This window comes from Homo sapiens, chromosome 1 (assembly GCF_000001405.40).
Source record: "Homo sapiens chromosome 1, GRCh38.p14 Primary Assembly".
Classification (NCBI taxonomy): Eukaryota; Metazoa; Chordata; class Mammalia; order Primates; family Hominidae; genus Homo; species Homo sapiens.
In genome coordinates, this window is record NC_000001.11 from 158265056 (window position 1) to 158284532 (window position 19477).

The 19477-nt window shown below is 38.9% G+C and overlaps 1 pseudogene, besides 1 other annotated feature; it reads right to left on the reverse strand.

Annotated features, from left to right (window-relative positions):
* On the reverse strand, positions 1698–2265 carry HMGN1P5 (high mobility group nucleosome binding domain 1 pseudogene 5; annotated as a pseudogene).
* Positions 19093–19142: an enhancer, noted in NCBI's record as "active region_1898". NCBI's record gives its function as "activates an Ori minimal core promoter by ATAC-STARR-seq in GM12878 lymphoblastoid cells {active_cell/tissue: GM12878}" and the evidence as "EXISTENCE:reporter gene assay evidence [ECO:0000049][PMID:35858748]".

Sequence of the window (19477 nt, forward strand, 5' to 3'; positions counted from 1 at the left end):
GTAAACTAAGTAAGAGAAAATTTGGGAGTTATTTTCCTGTTGGTTTTGCTTTTAATTTTCATTTATTTGCTGTTTGTTCTCCTTTGGGTTTTACTTATATTTACATACATATAAAACAATTGGTGTTTTTTAGTTTCTACTGTAAGGCTTGTATTTGGTTCTATGAATAGTCATTTTGTTTCCTATGCATTTCCAAAGGCTTATCATTTGCTCTATTTATCTAAAATTCCTAAGCTGTCTTTGTCAAGCTTCCAAAAATTGGCAGAGGACAGCAGCCATTTAAAATTTGGACTGGGGCTGGGTGCAGTGGCTCATGCCTGTAATCCCAGCACTTTGGGAGGCCAAGGTGGCTGGATCACCTGAGGTCAGGAGTTCCAGTCCAGACTGGACAACATGGCAAAACCCTGTCTCTTCTAAAAATACAAAAATTAGCTGGGGGTGGGATTACAGTAATCCCAGCTACTCAGGAGGCTGAGGCAGGAGAATAGCTTGAACCCAGGAGATGGAGGTTGTGGTGAGCCAAGATTGCACCACTGCACTCCAGCCTGGGTGACAGAAGTGAGACTCTGTCCCAAAAAAAAATAGTTGAATTTTACTTTGTAAAATTAAGAATTTCTCTTCAACAAACTACACACTGAGAAAAATTAATGCGTAGACAATTAAGAAAACTATTTGGAATTCTAACAATAAAATGGGTATATATAACATATATGAGATATACACCCATATATGAATTTGGAGATGTTTGTTGATTAAGTATACATGTGTAGAAACAACAGACCAGACTGTTGCGAAGGTCTTCAAGAAAGTGCTGAATGCAATGCATCAATACACGAAGCATACAGTACAATACCTGTATTGCAATTAGAGTTGTACACATCAAATAGTACCACTTTTTTTCTTTTATAATTGAGATTTTATTGGTTGTGTTGAGGGTCAGTACACAGATATTTCAATTCTTAATATATGTACTGAAAATCTAAAAAGCCATGTATTGTAATTATTTTTTAAAGTTGTTCCAGTAACTTTCCTGCTTAAAATTTGGAGGCAAATTTTCCTTAAGAGGCTACCAAGTACCAGTATCTTCACATGTTGATAAGCTGTTAACAGATGTCCCACCAACTCACAATTGAATAGCATATACACTACACACTCAAATTTTTAGTATTTCACAGCATGGTAACAAAGTTATTAGAAAAACAGGACTACCACCACCAAAGATGTTACAGAGTGCACACAATTCTGACAGGGAGAGCCATTATGAAGGAGTGGTTTCCTTTAGGAAACAATTCTACTGACAAAAAACATGGGACTAGAAGTAATTTAAAATGTTCAAGACATTAAAGGCAGGACTGTGACTCCACATTGCCATTTAGTACGCTTTGTATTATAGGATATAAAAGCTAACCCCCCATCCATGGAATGTTAAGCTGACACCCAAGACAAAGCCTCCCATAATTCGATATTCCATACTATTTTCTGGTACCAAAAATAAACAACCAGAGAATGATTTCACCTTTAAAAAAAAAGCACTTGCACTTAAAAAATGAGGTGAGATGGGATTCACTCTTTCTTAAAAATGTTTCTAGAGCTACTGAAAAACTTTTGTTTACAAAATAGTTCATAAAAATATTCCCCCAGGTTGTACAAGAAGGGAGACAGGGAAGACCGATAAGACATGGAATGTAATACTAATCAGACTTGGCTTCTTTCTCTGCAGCTTCAGAGGCTGGACTCTCCTCGATTTTAGTTTTTCCGTTTTCTGAAGTAAATCTTTAGTTTCTTGATTACCCACGTCGGCCTGTTTTCCCTTTGCTCCTCTTTCCCCTTTTGTTTGCAATTTTTTGTCTGAAGATTTGTCCTTTTCTTTTTCTTTTTTTTGACGAAGTCTTGCGTCTCGCTGTCACCCAGGCTGGAGTGCAGTAGTGCGATCTCGCCTCACTGCAACCTCCGCCTCCCGGGTTCAAGCGATTCTTCTGCCTTCGCCTCTGGAGTAGCTGGGATTACAGGCGCCCACCACCACACCTGGCTAATTTTTGTATTTTTAGTAGGCACGGGGTTTCACCATGTTGGCCAGTTTGGTCTCAAACTCCTGACCTCAGGTGATTTGCCCACCTCGGCCTCCCAAAGTGCTGGGATTATAGGCCTGAACCACCACGCCTGACCTCCTGCTGCCTTTTCCGGCTTCATTTCCACTTTTGCAGGAGAAGCTTTAGCTGCCAACGGCACTGATCTCCTCTTGGGCTCTTCCTTCATGGCTCCTTCATCCCGGTGGTGCAGAACGTGTGTGCCAGGTGCCTGCGGCCGCTGCACGTAAGAGCCCTGGTGAAGCTAGGCTGCCTGGCCACTGCCGCTCCTCCCGCCTGAGCTGCTGAGACCCCGACACCATGTGTTAAAAGAACACATAGGCACAGAAGGATGACACATTAATACATTAAAATGTGGGGAAGGGAAGGAAGTGGGGATAATAAGTAAATAAAATAATATACAGAGGAAGCCCGCTCAGGCCAAATGATATCCACGCCATGAATAGAAGAGAATGAACTCAACAATCTATACTTAAGATTCCAGAGAAGCATGATTTATACTCATTTGGGTATATACCCAGTAATGGGATGGCTGGGTCAAATGGTATTTCTAGTTCTAGATCCCTGAGGAATCGCCACACTGACTTCCACAATGGTTGAACTAGTTTACAGTCCCACCAACAGTGTAAAAGTGTTCCTATTTCTCCGCATCCTCTCCAGCACCTGTTGTTTCCTGACTTTTTAATGATTGCCATTCTAACTGGTGTGAGATGATATTTCATAGTGGTTTTGATTTGCATTTCTCTGATGGCCAGTGATGATGAGCATTTCTTCATGTGTTTTTTGGCTGCATAGATGTCTTCTTTTGAGAAGTGTCTGTTCATGTCCTTCGCCCACTTTTTGATGGGGTTGTTTGTTTTTTTCTTGTAAATTTGTTTGAGTTCATTGTAGATTCTGGATATTAGCCCTTTGTCAGATGAGTAGGTTGCGAAAATTTTCTCCCATGTTGTAGGTTGCCTGTTCACTCTGACGGTAGTTTCTTTTGCTGTGCAGAAGCTCTTTAGTTTAATTAGATCCCATTTGTCAATTTTGTCTTTTGTTGCCATTGCTTTTGGTGTTTTGGACATGAAGTCCTTGCCCATGCCTATGTCCTGAATGGTAATGCCTAGGTTTTCTTCTAAGGTTTTTATGGTTTTAGGTTTAACGTTTAAATCTTTAATCCATCTTGAATTGATTTTTGTATAAGGTGTAAGGAAGGGATCCAGTTTCAGCTTTCTACATGTGGCTAGCCAGTTTTCCCAGCACCATTTAGACACATGCACACGTATGTTTATTGCGGCACTATTCACAATAGCAAAGACTTGGAACCAACCCAAATGTCCAACAATGATAGACTGGATTAAGAAAATGTGGCACATATACACCATGGAATACTATGCAGCCATAAAAAATGATGAGTTCATATCCTTTGTAGGGACATGGATGAAATTGGAAACCATCATTCTCAGTAAACTATCGCAAGAACAAAAAACCAAACACCGCATATTCTCACTCATAGGTGGGAATTGAACAATGAGATCACATGGACACAGGAAGGGGAATATCACACTCTGGGGACTGTGGTGGGGTCGGGGGAGGGGGGAGGGATAGCATTGGGAGATATACCTAATGCTAGATGACACATTAGTGGGTGCAGCGCACCAGCATGGCACATGTATACATATGTAACTAACCTGCACAATGTGCACATGTACCCTAAAACTTAGAGTATAATAAAAAAAAAAAAAAGAAAAAAAAAATAAAAATAAAAATAATTTCTTACTACTGTTAAAAAAAAAAAAAAAAAAAAGATTCCAGAGAAGACAGAACACAATACAACAAATCAAAAATTGGAAAATTATGATGCATAGAATGAAGAAACTGAATTGGGATAAAAGGGTCGCACCATGGGTAACTTCCCAGGGAAAAATAATAAAAATGCATGATATTGTGTAAAATACTTCTGTGTCTAAGTACAGAATCAAAATATCTGCAACATTAAAACTCGGGTTGAAAATGTCAGGGTTTTTCACCCTGATACCAAAACCAGGAAAAGACAATAATAATAATGATTTAAAAAAAACTGCAGACCAATATCCCTAATGAACGTAGGTGCAGAAATTCTCAACAAAATACTAGCTAACCGAATCCAACAGCATATCAAAAAGTTAATATATCATGATCAACTGGGTTTTGTATCAGGGATGCAGGGATGGTTTAACATATGCAAGTCAATAAATATGATACATCACGTAAACAGAATTAAAAACAAACATATGATCATCTCAATAGATGCAGAAAAAGCATTTGATAAAATCTAGCATTCCTTTATGATAAAACCCTCCAAAAAATAGGCATAGAAAGGACTTACCTCAAAGTAATAAGAGCCATATATGACAAACCCACCGCCAACATCATACTGAATGGGGAAAATTTGAAAGCATTCCCCTTGATAAGTGGAACAAGACAAGGATGCCCACTTTCACCACTTCTATTCAATATAGTACTGAAAGTCCTAGCCAGAGCAATCAGACAAGAGAACAAATAAAGGACATCCAAATTGGAAAAGAGATCAAACTGTCACTGTTCGCCCACGAGTTGATCACATACTTAGAAAAACCTAAATACGCATCCAAAAAGCTCCTAGATCTGACAAACAAATTCAGTAAAGTCTCAGGATACAAAACCAATGTACACAAATCAGTAGCACTGCTATTCACCAACAGTGACCAAGCCGAGAATCAAATAAAAAAACTCAATCCCTTTCACAACAGCTGCAAAAAATAAAATAAAATACTTAGGAACATTCTTAATAAAGGATCTTGAAAGATCTCTACAAGAAAAACTACAAAACACTGCTGAAAGAAATCATAGATGACACAAACAAATGGTAACACATCCCATGCTTGGGGATGGGTAGAATTAATATTGTGAAAATGACCTTGCTGCCCAAAGCAATCTACAGATTCAATGCAATTCCCATCAAAATATCTTTATAATTTTTCACAGAACTAGAAAAAAGAATCCTAAAATCCATATGGATCCAAAAAAGAGCCCACATAGCCAAAACAATACTATGCAAAAGAACAAATCTGGAGGCATCACTTCATTCAACTTTAAAGTACACTACAAGGCTATATTTACCAAAACAGCATGGTACTGGCATAAAAATAGACACGCAGACCAATGGAGAGCATAGAAAACCCAGAAATAAAGCCATATATTTAACAACCAACTGATCTTTGACAAAGCATACAGAAACATAAAGTAGGAGAAATGACACCCTATTGAAGAAAAGGTGCTTGGATAACTGACAAGCCACATGTAGAAGAATGGAACTGGATTCCCATCTCTCAGCTTATGCAAAAATGAACTGAAGATGGATCAAGGACTTAAATATAATATCCCAAACCATGAAAACTCTGTAAGATAACATCAGAAAAACTCTTCTGCACATTGGCTCAGGAAAATAATTTATGACTAAGGCCCCAAAAGCAAATGCAACAATAACAAAAATAAATATATGGAACCTAATTAAACTAAAAAGCTTCTGCACAGAAAAAGAAATAATCAGTGGAGTACACAGACAACCCACTGAGTGGGAGAAAATACTCATAGACTATGCATCTGACACAGGACTAGTATCCAGAATCTACATGGGACTCAAATAAATGAGCAAGAAAATGACAAAAATTCCACCAAAAAATGGGCAAAGAATGTGAATAGACAATTCTCAAAAGAAGATATACAAACAGCTAACAAACATTAAAAAAATGCTGAACATCACTAATCATCAGGGAAATGAAAATTAAAACCACAAAGAGATACCACCTTACTCCTACAAGTATGGCCATAATTAAAAAGTAAAAAAACAAAAGATGTTGGCCTGGATGTGGTAAGAAGGGAACACTTATACACTGTGGTTGGGGATGTAAATTAGTACAACCACTATGGAAAACAGTATGGAGATTCCTTAAAGAACTCAAAGTAGAACTACCATTCGATCCAGCAATCCCACTACTGGGTATCTACCCAAAGGAAATGAGACCATTATATGAAAAAGACACATGCACATGCATGTTTATAGCAGCGCAATTCACAATTGCAAAGATATGGAACCAACCTAAGTGCCCATTGACCAATGAGTGGATAAAGAAAATGTGGTAGATATTTACCATGGAATACTACTAAGCCATAAAACAGAACAAAATAATGTCTTTTGCAGCAACTTGGATGGAGCTGGAGGCCATTTTTCTAAATGAAGTGATTCAGGAATGAAAAATCAAATATTGTATGTCTCACTTATAAGTGGGAGCTAAACTATGAGGACACAAAGGCATTAAGAGTGATATAATGGACTTTGGATACTTAGCAGGGGGGAGATTGGGAGGGGGTGAGGGATAAAAGACTACATATTGGATACCGTGTACACTGCTGTGTGACGGGTGCACTAAAATCTCAGAAATCACCACTAAATAACTTATCCATGTAACAAAAAACCACCTGCATCCCAAGAACTAATGGAAAACAAACAAAAAACAAATTTTTGTATTCTACCAGTAGATGACATTAGAGATTAAAATGCCATTTCTGCATATGCTTGTTATTAAAAATTTTGTCTTATGGCTTCCCCCAAATCACGCAGCAGCTCAGAAACCTATCCTTAAATTCACAATAACTTTTTGGCTCTAAAATATTAAAAATATATTGATAACAATCCAGGAATAGAATCCAGGGTAATATATGGCCAATAAAATAAGATGAAGCCAAGAACAGTGTAAATTTTTAAAGAAGTGCCACGATACCCTATACTCTGGTTAGATGTGGGTCACACATTGTTGGAGGTCCATGATAATCAAGACAGGATCAGTTACATACTTGCAGTGTCTAGAAGATAGACAATGGGCTGTTTAGGAGAATTATAGCTATTCCTGGTCCTGAGGCCACAAGGACATTTCTTCCATCAGAGGAGAAACTGCTTAACGCAGTGAACAATGTTCTCAGGAAAGTCCTTTCAGTAAATTTTATGAGGTCCATAGGTCTTTTTGTGATTAAGTCTCTTAAAGTAAGATCATTATGTCAGCCTATGACAAAGACTGGGAAAAGTAATTCTACACAGCATAACAGGATCTAGTCCAGACATGCAGCTTTCTGATGTTCTAGCAAACCCAAGGGTAGATTTTGTTATCTGTAGAAATGAATAGATTCCACATCTTTCAAAGATACTGTTTATATTGAACTGATTTAAATTATTTTTGAAGCAGCAGCAACATTTAGATTATGTATTCTAACATATACCGGATGTAAAACTATTTTCTATCATCTGTTAAATACAGAACAGTAACTTTGACAATAGGTTGACTTACAAGTGGAATTGGAATTGGAAATTTCTTGTGGCTTCTGCAAATATCTACTCAAGGACTTCTGCTTGAATCTGAGGCTTGCTCCCGGAAGGCTGATAGCACCCATAGAGAGCACCAAGATTCTTCTTGTAATATAATTTTGTTTTTTTTTTCCAAATACAAAGGCACTAGTTGACATAACTACAACCCCCCTCATCCCAATGCACAACCAACTGTACTTCATAGAGAATGCCAGATATGGCTTTAGACAGGAAACTATTTGAAACAGATATGAATCTTAATATGAGTTTAAAGTGAGAAAAAAGAATACTATGAGTATGAAGTAAGAAAAGCAGCCATGGGTCCTTGAGCTATTTCCAGATTGCCCATTCAAGTAAAACTGGTTATTAACTATACACCTGCATAGCTAAATAAATAAATGACTTGCCAAATGGGCTATATGGCAGAGAACACTGGTTTTCTCCCAGTATATGTTTGTCACTTCCTCTAGAATAACTGAAACCTGCTGATTATTAGCTGGGCAGAATAAAAGCTATGTTTCTTGGCACCCTTTGAGCTGATTGTGGTCATGTGATTACAACCTGCCAAATGTGATGTATAACTTCTGCAGAAAGCAGCTCTGAAATCATGGGAAGTCGATGTGCTCACTTCTTCCCTTCCTCTTATTGGCTGGATGAAAGGTGGATTTGATGGAAAGAACTCTGGCAGTCACCTCAGGGTATGGGAAGACCACTGGAATGAGGACTAACTGTGGTAAAGACCAAAACAAAACAAAAAAATAAAAACTCTCCCCCGCAAAAGAAGGAAATTGGAAACTGAGTTCCTGACACCATGGAATGCCACATCAACCCTGCATTGCCTACTCCTGTCTTTTTATAAGAGAGAGAAATGTGGTTGCATTTTTATTTATTTATTTAATTATTTTGAGATGGAGTCTTGCTCTGTAGCCCAGGCTGGAGTGCAATAGCGTGATCTCGGCTCACTGCAACCTCCACCTCCCGGGTTCAAGCAAGTCTCCTGCCTCAGCCTCCTGAGTAGCTGGGACTACAGGCACATGCCACCATGCCCAGCTAATTTTTGTATTTTTAGTGGAGATGGGGTTTCCTCATATTGGCCAGGCTGGTCTCCAACTCGTGAGCTCAAGTAATCCACCCACTTCGGCCTCCCAAAGTGCTGAGATTACAGGCATGAGCTACTGTGCCTGGCTCCATCTTTTAAAAGATACTGTCAGTTTGAATTTTCTGTCACTCACAACCAAATTTAACTAATTCAGGATGTCAGCTGAGTATCAATTAATCATCAATAGCATTGGTCTATGAAATGCTTATTTGAGGCTCTTTATTTTTCTCATTATGATGACCTGTGTGGGTTACTTAATTTTTGCTAAGACAAAACCAAATTTTGATAATAGCACCCAAGTTATTTGTATTTAAGTTCACTTTCACTTTTGTCTTTATATTTTCTAAAGCAAGGGAGAAAATGCAACTAGCCGTTCCAAAATTTATATGAAAACAAACTTGTTAGAAATCAGAGGGAACTTCTGGGAAAATGATAGAGTGAAATATTTCATAACCCATTTCACTTAGGTAAATCCCAAGTAGAGAAAGAAACTTCATCTATACTGAATCTAGTAAAGAGCTATAACTTACAACAAAAGCCAAGGAGTTTCTATTTTTTATGTTTTCACCCTTTCTACTTTGCCAGAAACACTGAATAGAGTTTTGTCTTTCTGATTTAAAGAGAGGAAGAGAGAAAAAAATGCCAACTCTGTAGACACCTTCAGAGTTCAGTTTTATCATAAAAAACTGTTTGAATAATTAGACCTTTACATTCCTGAAGATAAAATAAACATGTAATCTTTTATCTTATTTTGTTCAACAAAATTGTTCAGAAAATCAAAGTGGTAAAAACAATGTAAAATTTAACATTTTAATACCGATGTTGTACACTGTTTTACTTAACATTTTGGAGAGTAATTGCCTTGCTCTTCAACTCAGGAAAACACTTTTTTTGTGGCTAATGTAATTGGTTTCTGTAACAACATCAGCAAATAAAAGGATGCTGATTATTGAAAAGAAAGTTATAATAAAAGTTGGTATAAATTTTTAGCACACATTTTTCTGATTTTGAGTATGATGAAAGGTTGATATCTACAGTTTTAATAGAAAAAGTTCAATTCAGGAGAGCGTAAACAAAGCTACTAGGACCTTTGTTAGAAGACGACTATAGGGAATAAAGTATTATGGAAATGGAGAATAAAATAATTTGGGAGGAATCTTTTGGTGGAGCCAACCTTTAGAAAACAGGCTGTGGCCATGAGTCTTTGACCTTGTTGGTGTGCAGTGGCCTATGTCGTTGAATACGACTGGCTTTTATATGCTGTGCGACTGCCTCCTTACCACTGTGGTCTGAACAGGCAGCTGTAGGACTTTGTTTCTAGTGGCCATTTGAGGTTTTTATTGTGGTAAGTTGTGGCTGTTTAAGATGGGTTTGCTTAAGATGAGTGTTAAGTGGCTCTATGTAGATGAGTGTCTCAGGTCAGTTGCCGAGGAAACACTCAGATGAGCCTCGGCCTGCAGAATGCTTACTGGGGAGTGTTCTATGAAACAGCACTACCAAAAGAAAGAGGGAAGCAGGACTGAGCAGTGAGACAAGGAACTGTGATGCAGTTGTAACAGAGGATCTAACAACCTCATAGAGAGTTCTGGAGCTAAGATGGCCCTTCAGAGGTTTTCTGAAATGAAGTAATGGGCTCATACCTTTGTACTTCTATATTCGATGTGGGCTTTCCCTAGGGAAAGAATGTCCCCTTAGGCAAAGTGGCTCCCTTCTACATAAGGCAGTTTTTAGAAGGACACATCTGTGAGTAGTCAGCAGCCAACACTCCCTGAAGCTGAGGAATAAGCATCTTCTTCCTGAAGAGGCTGTATTGCTGGCTGACCACAGCACCCACTAGAGCAAGGGTATGTCCTTATGGAAGTATGGATTTACTTGCTGGACCTTAAATAAATGCCTCATAAACGGTGTCAATATTGTAGACACAGGCCAAGGCCAGAGCAAATCTTAGGAAATATGCATGGGATTCTACAAGCAGTAACCTTAACTAGGCTGCCTCAGCATGATGGCTAAAGCAAAAATTCTATTAATGGAACCAGAGACCTCTTAGATATCAGTTCTTCTTCTTCTTCTCCTTCTCCTTCTCCTTCTTCTTTCTTTTTTTTTTTTGATGGAGTCTCTCTCTGTCGCCCAGGCTGGAATGCAGTGGTGCAACCTCGGCTCACTGCAATCTCCGCCTCCCGGGTTCAAGCGATTCCCCTGCCTCAGCATCTCGAGTAGCTGGGACTACAGGCAAGCACCATCATGCCTGGCTAATTTTTTGTATTTTGTAGAGACGGAGTTTCACCACGTTGATCACGATGGTCTTGATATCCTGACCTTGTGATCTGCCCTCCTCACCCTCCCAAAGTGCTGGGATTACAGGTGTGAGCCACCGTGCCGAGCTGACATCGGATCTTCTAAAACACCAGGCAGCAAAATAATTATTGCCAGTTTTTGCCTTGATTTTCAGTCCAGACTGAAAGGTCTGCAGTCTAGATGAGATACCTCAAATTTGGTTTGTCTCCTACATTATTTTAAACTGGTTTCAGGGTCAAGAAGGAGTCCCAGGAATGAACTCACCTTGACTTTATGTGGCTTGTACGGAGGCCCAGGAATCATCTCCCACTACATAGGTTCAATTTGCCTACACCTGTTATTGCTTAGATCTTTGAGACACAAGTTGTGGCTTCACACATATAAGGATGGTAAATTCTATTAATAAATAACTAAAAAGGAAATAGAAAGACTTCTTTTTTTTAAATTATACTTTAAGTTCTAGGGTACATGTGCACAACATGCAGGTTTGTTATGTATGTATACACGTGCCATGTTGGTTTGCTGCACCCATTAACTCATCATTTACATTAGGTATTTCTGTTAATGCTATCCTTCCCCCATCCACCCACCCCACAACAGGCCCCAGTGTGTGATGTTCCCCGCCCCATGTCCAAGTGTTCTCATTGTTCAATTCCCACCTATGAGTGAGAACATGCGGTGTTTGGTTTTCTGTCCTTGCGATAGTTTGCTCAGAATGATGGGAAACAGAAGTACTTCTGTTTCTAGAAATGTTATACTACATAATTTGGACCAACTCTCTTATCAAGGATGTCTAGAAAAAACAATAAAAATATAAAATAAAACCTGCCTCAAGGCATCAAAGAACCCACAAAAGGGAGATGGATTATTGGGTTAATATCTGGGAGAAGAGAGAAACTCATAGTGATGAACCCTGTATTTGGGGCTGCTTTTCTCCCCAGAGGCATCTACTGATTCCATGAGAGGCACTAATGAGACTGAAAAGCTAAGCTTTTAACAGACTTGTAAATCTTCAAAGATATAATTGAAGCCCACATTTTAAATTGGGAACTTAAGGGGTTAATTCCAGCAGTAAGTATAAAACAGAAGGAGAATAACCTGTGCAGGGATTACAACACAGTTCCAAATTATCTTAATCTCTGAAATTAATAAAGCAATTTTGATCCAATGCCCTTAAATAAATATAGAGCAAGATAACAGCATCCTGGGTCCCAAATTATTTCTACATTTTTTAAATTTTAATTTTAATTTATTTATTTTTTTATTATTATACTTTAAGTTCTAGGGTACATGTGCACAGCATGCAGGTTTGTTATATATGTATACATGTGCCATGTTGGTGTGCTGCACCCATTAACTCGTCATTTACATTAGGTATATCTCCTAATGCTATCCCTCCCCCCTCCCCCTACCCCCCAACAGGCCCCGGTGTGTGATGTCCCTCTTCCTGTGTCCATGTGTCCTCATTGTTCAATTCCCACCTGTGAGAACATGCAGTGTTTGGTTTTTTGTCCTTGCGATAGTTTGCTGAGAATGATGGTTTCCAGCTTCATCCATGTCGCTACAAAGGACATGACCTCATCATTTTTTATGGCTGCATAGTATTCCATGTTGTATATGTGCCACATTTTCTTAATCCAGTCTATCATTGTTGGACATTTGGGTTGGTTCCAGGTCTTTGCTATTGTGAATAGTGCCACAATAAACATACGTGTGCATGTGTCTTTATAGCAGCATGATTTATAATCCTCTGGGTATATACCCAGTAATGGGATGGCTGGGTCAAATGGTATTTCTAGTTCTAGATCCGTGAGGAATCGCCACACTGTCTTCCACAATGGTTGAACCAGTTTACAGTCCCACCAGCAGTGTAAAAGTGTTCCTTGTTAAATTGATCCCTTTACCATTATGTAATGGCCTTCTTTTTCTTTTGATCTTGTTGGTTTAAAGTCTGTTTTATCAGAGACTAGGATTGCAACCCCTGCCTTGTTTTCTTTTCCATTTGTGTGGTAGATCTTCCTCCATCCCTTTATTTTGAGCCTATGTGTGTCTCTGCATGTGAGATGGGTTTCCTGAATACAGCACACTAATGGGTCTTGACACTTTATCCAATTTGTCAGTCTGTGTCTTTTAATTGGAGCATTTAGCCCATTTACATTTAAGATTAATATTGTTATGTGTGAATTTGATCCTGTCATTTTGATGTTAGCTGGTTATTTTGCTCATTAGTTGATGCAGTTTCTTCCTAGCATTGATGGTCTTTACAATTTGGCATGTTTTTGCAGTGGCTGGTACCAGTTGTTCCTTTCCATGTTTAGTGCTTCCTTCAGGAGCTCTTGTAGGGCAGGCCTGGTGCTGACAAAATCTCTCAGCATTTGCTTGTCTGTAAAGGATTTTATTTCTCCTTCACTTATGAAGCTTATTTTGGCTGGATATGAAATTCTGGGTTGAAAATTCTTTTCTTTAAGAATGTTGAATATTGGTCCCCACTCTCTTTTGGCTTGTAGAATTTCTGCCGAGAGATCAGCTGTTAGTCTGATGGGCTTCCCTTTGAGGGTAACCCGACCTTTCTCTCTGGCTGCCCTTAACATTTTTTCCTTCATTTCAACTTTGGTGAATCTGACAATTATGTGTCTTGGAGTTGCTCTTCTCGAGGAGTATCTTTGTGGTGTTCTCTGTATTTCCTGAATTTGAATGTTGGCCTGCCTTTCTAGGTTGGGGAAGTTCTCCTGGATAATATCCTGCAGAGTGTTTTGCAACTTAGTTGCATTCTCCCTGTCACTTTCAGGTACACCAATCAGATGTAGATTTGGTCTTTTCACATAGTCCCATATTTCTTGGAGGCTTTGTTTGTTTCTTTTTATTCTTTTTTCTCTAAACTTCCCTTCTCACTTCATTTCATTCATTTGATCTTCCATCACTGATACCCTTTCTTCCAGTTGATCAAATTGGCTACTGAAGCTTGTGCATTCATCACATAGTTCTCGTGCCATGGTTTTCAGCTCCATCAGGTCCTTTAAGGACTTCTCTGCATTGGTTATTCTAGTTAGCCATTGTCTAATTTCTTTTCAAGATTTTCAACTTCTTTGCCATGGGTTCGAACTTCCCTCTTTAGCTCCGAGAAATTTGATCATCTGTAGCCTTCTTCTCTCAATTCATCAAAGTCATTCTCCATCCATCTTTGCTCCATTGCTGGTGAGGTGCTGCATTCCTTTGGAGGAGGAGAGGTGCTCTGATTTTTAGAATTTTCAGTTTTTCTGCTCTGTTTTTTCCCCATCTTTGTGGTTTATCTACCTTTGGTCTTTGATGATGGTGACGTACAGATGGGGTTTTGGTGAGGATGTCCTTTCTATTTGTTAGTTTTCCTTCTAACAGTCAGGACCCTCAGCAGCAGGTCTGTTGTAGTTTGCTGGAGGTCCACTCCAGACCCTGTTTGCCCGTGTCAGCAGTGGAGGCTGTAGAACGGCGAATATTGGTGAACAGCAAATGTTACTGCCTGATCATTCCTCTGGAAGTTTTGTCTCAGAGGGGTACCCGGCTGTCTGAGGTGTCAGTCTGCCCCTACTGGGAAGCCTCCCAGTTAGGCTACTTGGGGGTCAGGGACCCACTTGAGGAGGCAGTCTTTCCCTTCTCAGATCTGAAGCTGCATGCTGGGAGAACCACTACTCTCTTCCAAGCTGTCAGACAGGGACATTTAAGTCTGCAGAGGATTCTGCTGCCTTTTGTTCAGCTATGCCCTGCCCCAAGAGGTGGAGTCTACAGAGGCAGGCAGGCCTCCTTGAGCTATGGTGGGCTCCACCCAGTTTGAGCTTCCTGGCCACTTTGTTTACCTACTCAAGCCTCAGCAATGGGGGGTGCCTCTCCCCCAGCCTCACTGCTGCATTGCGGTTAGATCTCAGACTGCTGTGCTAGCAATGAGTGAGGCTCCGTGGGCTTAGGACCCTCCGAGCCAGGTGCGGGATATAATCTCCTTGTGTGCCATTTGCTAAGACCATTGGAAAAGTGCAGTATTAGGGTGGGAGTGACCCGATTTTCCAGGTGCTGCTTGTCCCCCCTTCCCTTGGCTAGGAAAGGGAATTCCCTGACCCCTTGCACTTCCCAGGTGAGGCAATGCCTCGCTCTGCTTCAGCTCACACTCGGTGCACTGCACCCAGTGTCCTGCACCCACTGTCCGACAATCTCCGGTGAGATGAACCCAGTATCTCAGTTGGAAATGCAGAAATCACCCATTTTCTGCGTCACTCATGCTGGGAGCTATAGACTGGAGCTGTTCCTATTTGGCCATCTTGGAACCACCCCTATTTCTACATTTTTAAAGTAAATGAACTATATGAAATTATTGACATATGTGAATGACATGTGATATGAGTGGTTCAGTTTTTGGCAGGACAAAGTCAGGAATCCAGAGCATCATCCAAGAAAATGTATTACTATTGTCTTCACTTGCAAATATCACAGCAAATTATGGTGGAACATTTGTATAGATGACTAATATTACCATCAAATAATATAGCATATTACTTAGGGTATAAAATACAAAACTAAACAATTAGGATTATGGTAGATATGATGAATCAAGTAAATTTAATTAAAGTAAGAAATTCTATATATTGTCCACTAAGGTTTGACGACATATCCTCAAATATAAGCTAGGTATAGCAGATTATTATTATTAATTTATGTATTTCCAAGTGCATATAATTCCATTTAAAACACTTTTTGTGTGTTGAATAAATTTCCCAGTGTATGGAATTACTAGAAAAATTATATACAACATTAATAGACAAGTTACAAAAGTTATATACAACATTAATAGACAAGTTACAAAAGTTAAATATAAACAAAATAATTTGAAGATTCAGGATATGACAATGCCACCATGCATGGTAAATATAATTGGCAACATCTAAAAGTGTGTGAAAAAATTCAATGTCATTCTATATTCTTTGATCCATTAACAGTCTTTTTTTTCTCTCCTAAACAAATGACATGTTTGCAGTATGTTAAAAGGCAGGAAAAATTAAGCAAAAAGCCCCAAGACCTTCATATGGTCTTTATTCGCCTGCTGTAAACATTAAGTACTTTCTTTTTTCTTTTTTTAATTATATTTTAAGCTCTCGAATACTTGTGCAGAATGTGCAGGTTTGTTAAATAGATATACACGTGCCATGGTGGTTTGCTGCACCCACTAACCCATCATCCAGATTAGGTATTTCTCCTAATGCTATCCCTGCCTTAACCCCTCATCCTCTGACAGGCCCCAGTGTGTGATGTTCCCTGCCCTGTGTCAATGTGTTCTCATTGTTCAACTCCCACTTATGAGTGAGAACATGTATGTTTGGTTTTCTGTTCCTGTGTTAGTTTGCTGAGAATGATGGTTTCCAGCTTCATCCATGTCCCTGCAAAGGACATGAAATCATCCTTTTTTATGGCTGCATAATATTCCATGGTGTATATGTGCCACATTTTCTTGATCCAGTCTATCATTGATGGGCATTTGGGTTGGTTCCAAGTCTTTGTTATTGTGATTAGTGCCACAATAAACATACATGTGCATGTGTCTTTACAGTAGAATGATTTATAATCCTTTGGGTATATATCCAACAATGAGATTGCAGGATCAAATGGTATTTCTAGTTCTAGATCCTTGAGGAATCACCACACTGTCTTCCACAATGGTTGAACTAATTTACACTCCCACCAACAGTGTAAAAGCATTCTTATTTCTCCACATCCTCTCCGGCATCTGTTGTTTCCTGACTTTTTAATGATCATCATCTTTGTGGTGTTCTCTGTATTTCCCGAATTTGAATGTTGGCCAGTCTTGCTAGGCTGGGGAAGTTCTCCTGGATAATATACTGAAGAGTGTTTTCAAACTTGGTTTCATTTTCCCCATCACTTTCAAATACACCAATCAAATGTAGGTTTGGTCTTTTCACATAGACCAACATTTCTTGTAGGCTTTGTTAGTTCCTTTTCATTCTTTTTTCTCAATCTTTTCTTAACGATTTATTTCATTAAGTTGATCTTCAATCTCTGATATCCTTTCTTTCACTTGATCGATTCAGCTATTGATACTTGTGTATGCTTCACAAGGTTCTCTTGCAGTGTTTTTCAGCTCCATCATGCCATTTATGTTCTTCTCTAAACTGGTTATTTTAGTTAGCAATTCCTGTAACCTTTTTTCAAGGCTCTTAGCTTCCTTGCTTTGGGTTAGAATATGCTTTTTTAGCTTGGAGGAGTTTGCTATTACCCACTTTCTGAAGCCTACTTTTGTCAAATTGTTAAACTCATTCTCCATCCAGTTTTGTTTCCTTGCTGGCAAGGAGTTGTGTTCCTTCAGAGGAGAAGAGGCATACTCTTTTTTAGAATTTTCAGCCTTTTTGTTCTTGTTTTTCCTTATCTTCGTAGATTTATCTACCTTTGGTCTTTCGTTTTGGTGACCTTCGGATGGGGTTTTTGTGTGGACATACTTTTTGTTGATGTTGATGCTTTTTCCTTTCTGTTTGTTAGTTTTCCTTCTAACAGTTAGGCCCCTCTGCTGCAAGTCTGTTGGAGTTTGCTGGAGGTCCACTCCAGACCCTGTTTGCCTGGGTGTCACCAGCGGAGGCTGCAGAACAGCAAAGATTGCTGCCTGTTACTTCCTCTGGAAGCTTTGTCACAGAGGGGCACCTGCCAGATGCCAGCAGGAGCTCTGCTGTATGAAGTGTCTGTCGACCCCTGCTGGGAGGTGTCTCCTAGGCAGGAGGCATGGTGGTCAGGGACCCACTTGAGAAGGCAGCCTGTCCCTTAGCAGAGCTTGAGCACTGTGCTGGGAGATCTGGTGCTCTCTTCAGAGCTGGCAGGCAGGAACATTTAAGTCTGCTGAAGTTGTGCCCACAGCTGCCATTTCCCCAGGTACTCTGTCCCAGGGAGATGGGAGTTTTACTTATAAGCCCCTGACTGGGGCTGCTGCCTTTCTTTCAGAGATGCCCTTCCCAGAGAGGAGGAATCTAGATAGGCTCATTCACAGTCTTTTTAAAACTTTTGTAGTAAAAGATATAGTAAAATTTATCTCTAAATAGTTTAAAAATATCATACAAGAGTAGTATTATCTTTCAGTCTTGACAAAACATTGGATTGCATTGCTAATAGAAATTAATATAAAATTATAACCATGGTTGATTATATGATGGGGAAGTTGAGCTGACACCATTGTATTCCTAGGGATTCAATTAGTGATGGTCTGCAATACTTCTTTAGAAATTTTGAAGATATTAATAAAATCCTGGATTCTAGAAAACAAGCCAAAAGTATAAGTACTTCCAAAAATACTTTGAAATTGATGTGTTTAATACTGGTTTGGCATGATATGTAAGTAAAATTAATACCATAAACAGAATGATATTAAAATCCCAATAATTCCTTGCAAACTTCAAAGGATTATGACATTTTTAAATGAAAAATGAGGTGATAAGATTCATAAGAAGATATCACTGATACTTAACAACCTGCAGTTTTTAAAAATTTTGACTCCAAATCCTGTAATATAAAGTCAGTCTTTGCTTTGCATGTTAATGCAGGACTGTAAAAATTGATCATGCAAGCTAAAATCATGTGAAAGGATCTCAATAATCAAGAGAGAGAATTATGATCACCCTGTGACTTGAAACATCTTTGTCAAAATATTCAAAACCCACTTACTATTGGTTATAAATATATAGGGAAGTGAAAAACAGTACAATATAATTTACTTAGCACACTATACTTTAAAACATTAAAACATTTGGAATTAAAGTCTTTTTCCCTTGTATTAACTTACCAAGAATGTTTTGAGCAATGTTTGCCTTCATCTTCTGTTACTTAAAGATACAGAGTATCTTTGTATTCCTTGGTGAATTTTCATACTCCTTTTAATGTTTGGATCAGCTTCTGATATTTTATACTTTGTGCTTTCCCTCTTGGGGAATATCTCTGAGAGTTCCTTTAATGGGAAGTTTTCTGCCAGTGTCACTTCATTTAAGACACCTTCATTCTTTTCACAACAATCACTTCCCTCCTCCAGGTTCCTCTAGCTTCACCTCTAAAGTCTCTCAAACAGTAGCATTCTCAGCATTCCCACGGTCAGCTATTTCCTCTATAGCTTCTTTTATATTTAATTCAAATCTCACTTCTAGCATTGTCCCTTTTCTTCTTTGCACATTCATCTTTGTTGCCCAATTTCCTCTTTCTATTATTCACTCATGTCAGATGGGTATGGGTTTATTACTGAGACACAATGAGACCACAGGACTACACACCTACATGCTTTGCTGTTTTGCACAGCACAGAATAATAGTCAAACTGACAAACTTTGACATATGTAAAGCAATTGGTCACTGATTATGATGTGGATTTGTTACTTCTATGGTGACTCATGGACTGAAGACCTAGTGGTAGTTTATACTTCGTGCAGTTACTAAGAGTTACTATACTGTGGCAACTGAAATTTGTGGCACACATTTCAAACTTGTTGTTGGGGAATTTGTGTTATTTAACTAAAACTTTGCTGACTGAAATTTGTGCATTTTGAAACTGGGCAAAACAAAGACAGCCTATATCAGAAAAATGAAGAAGACTGTGTTGATTTTGTTGAATATTTTTGTGTTTGCTTTG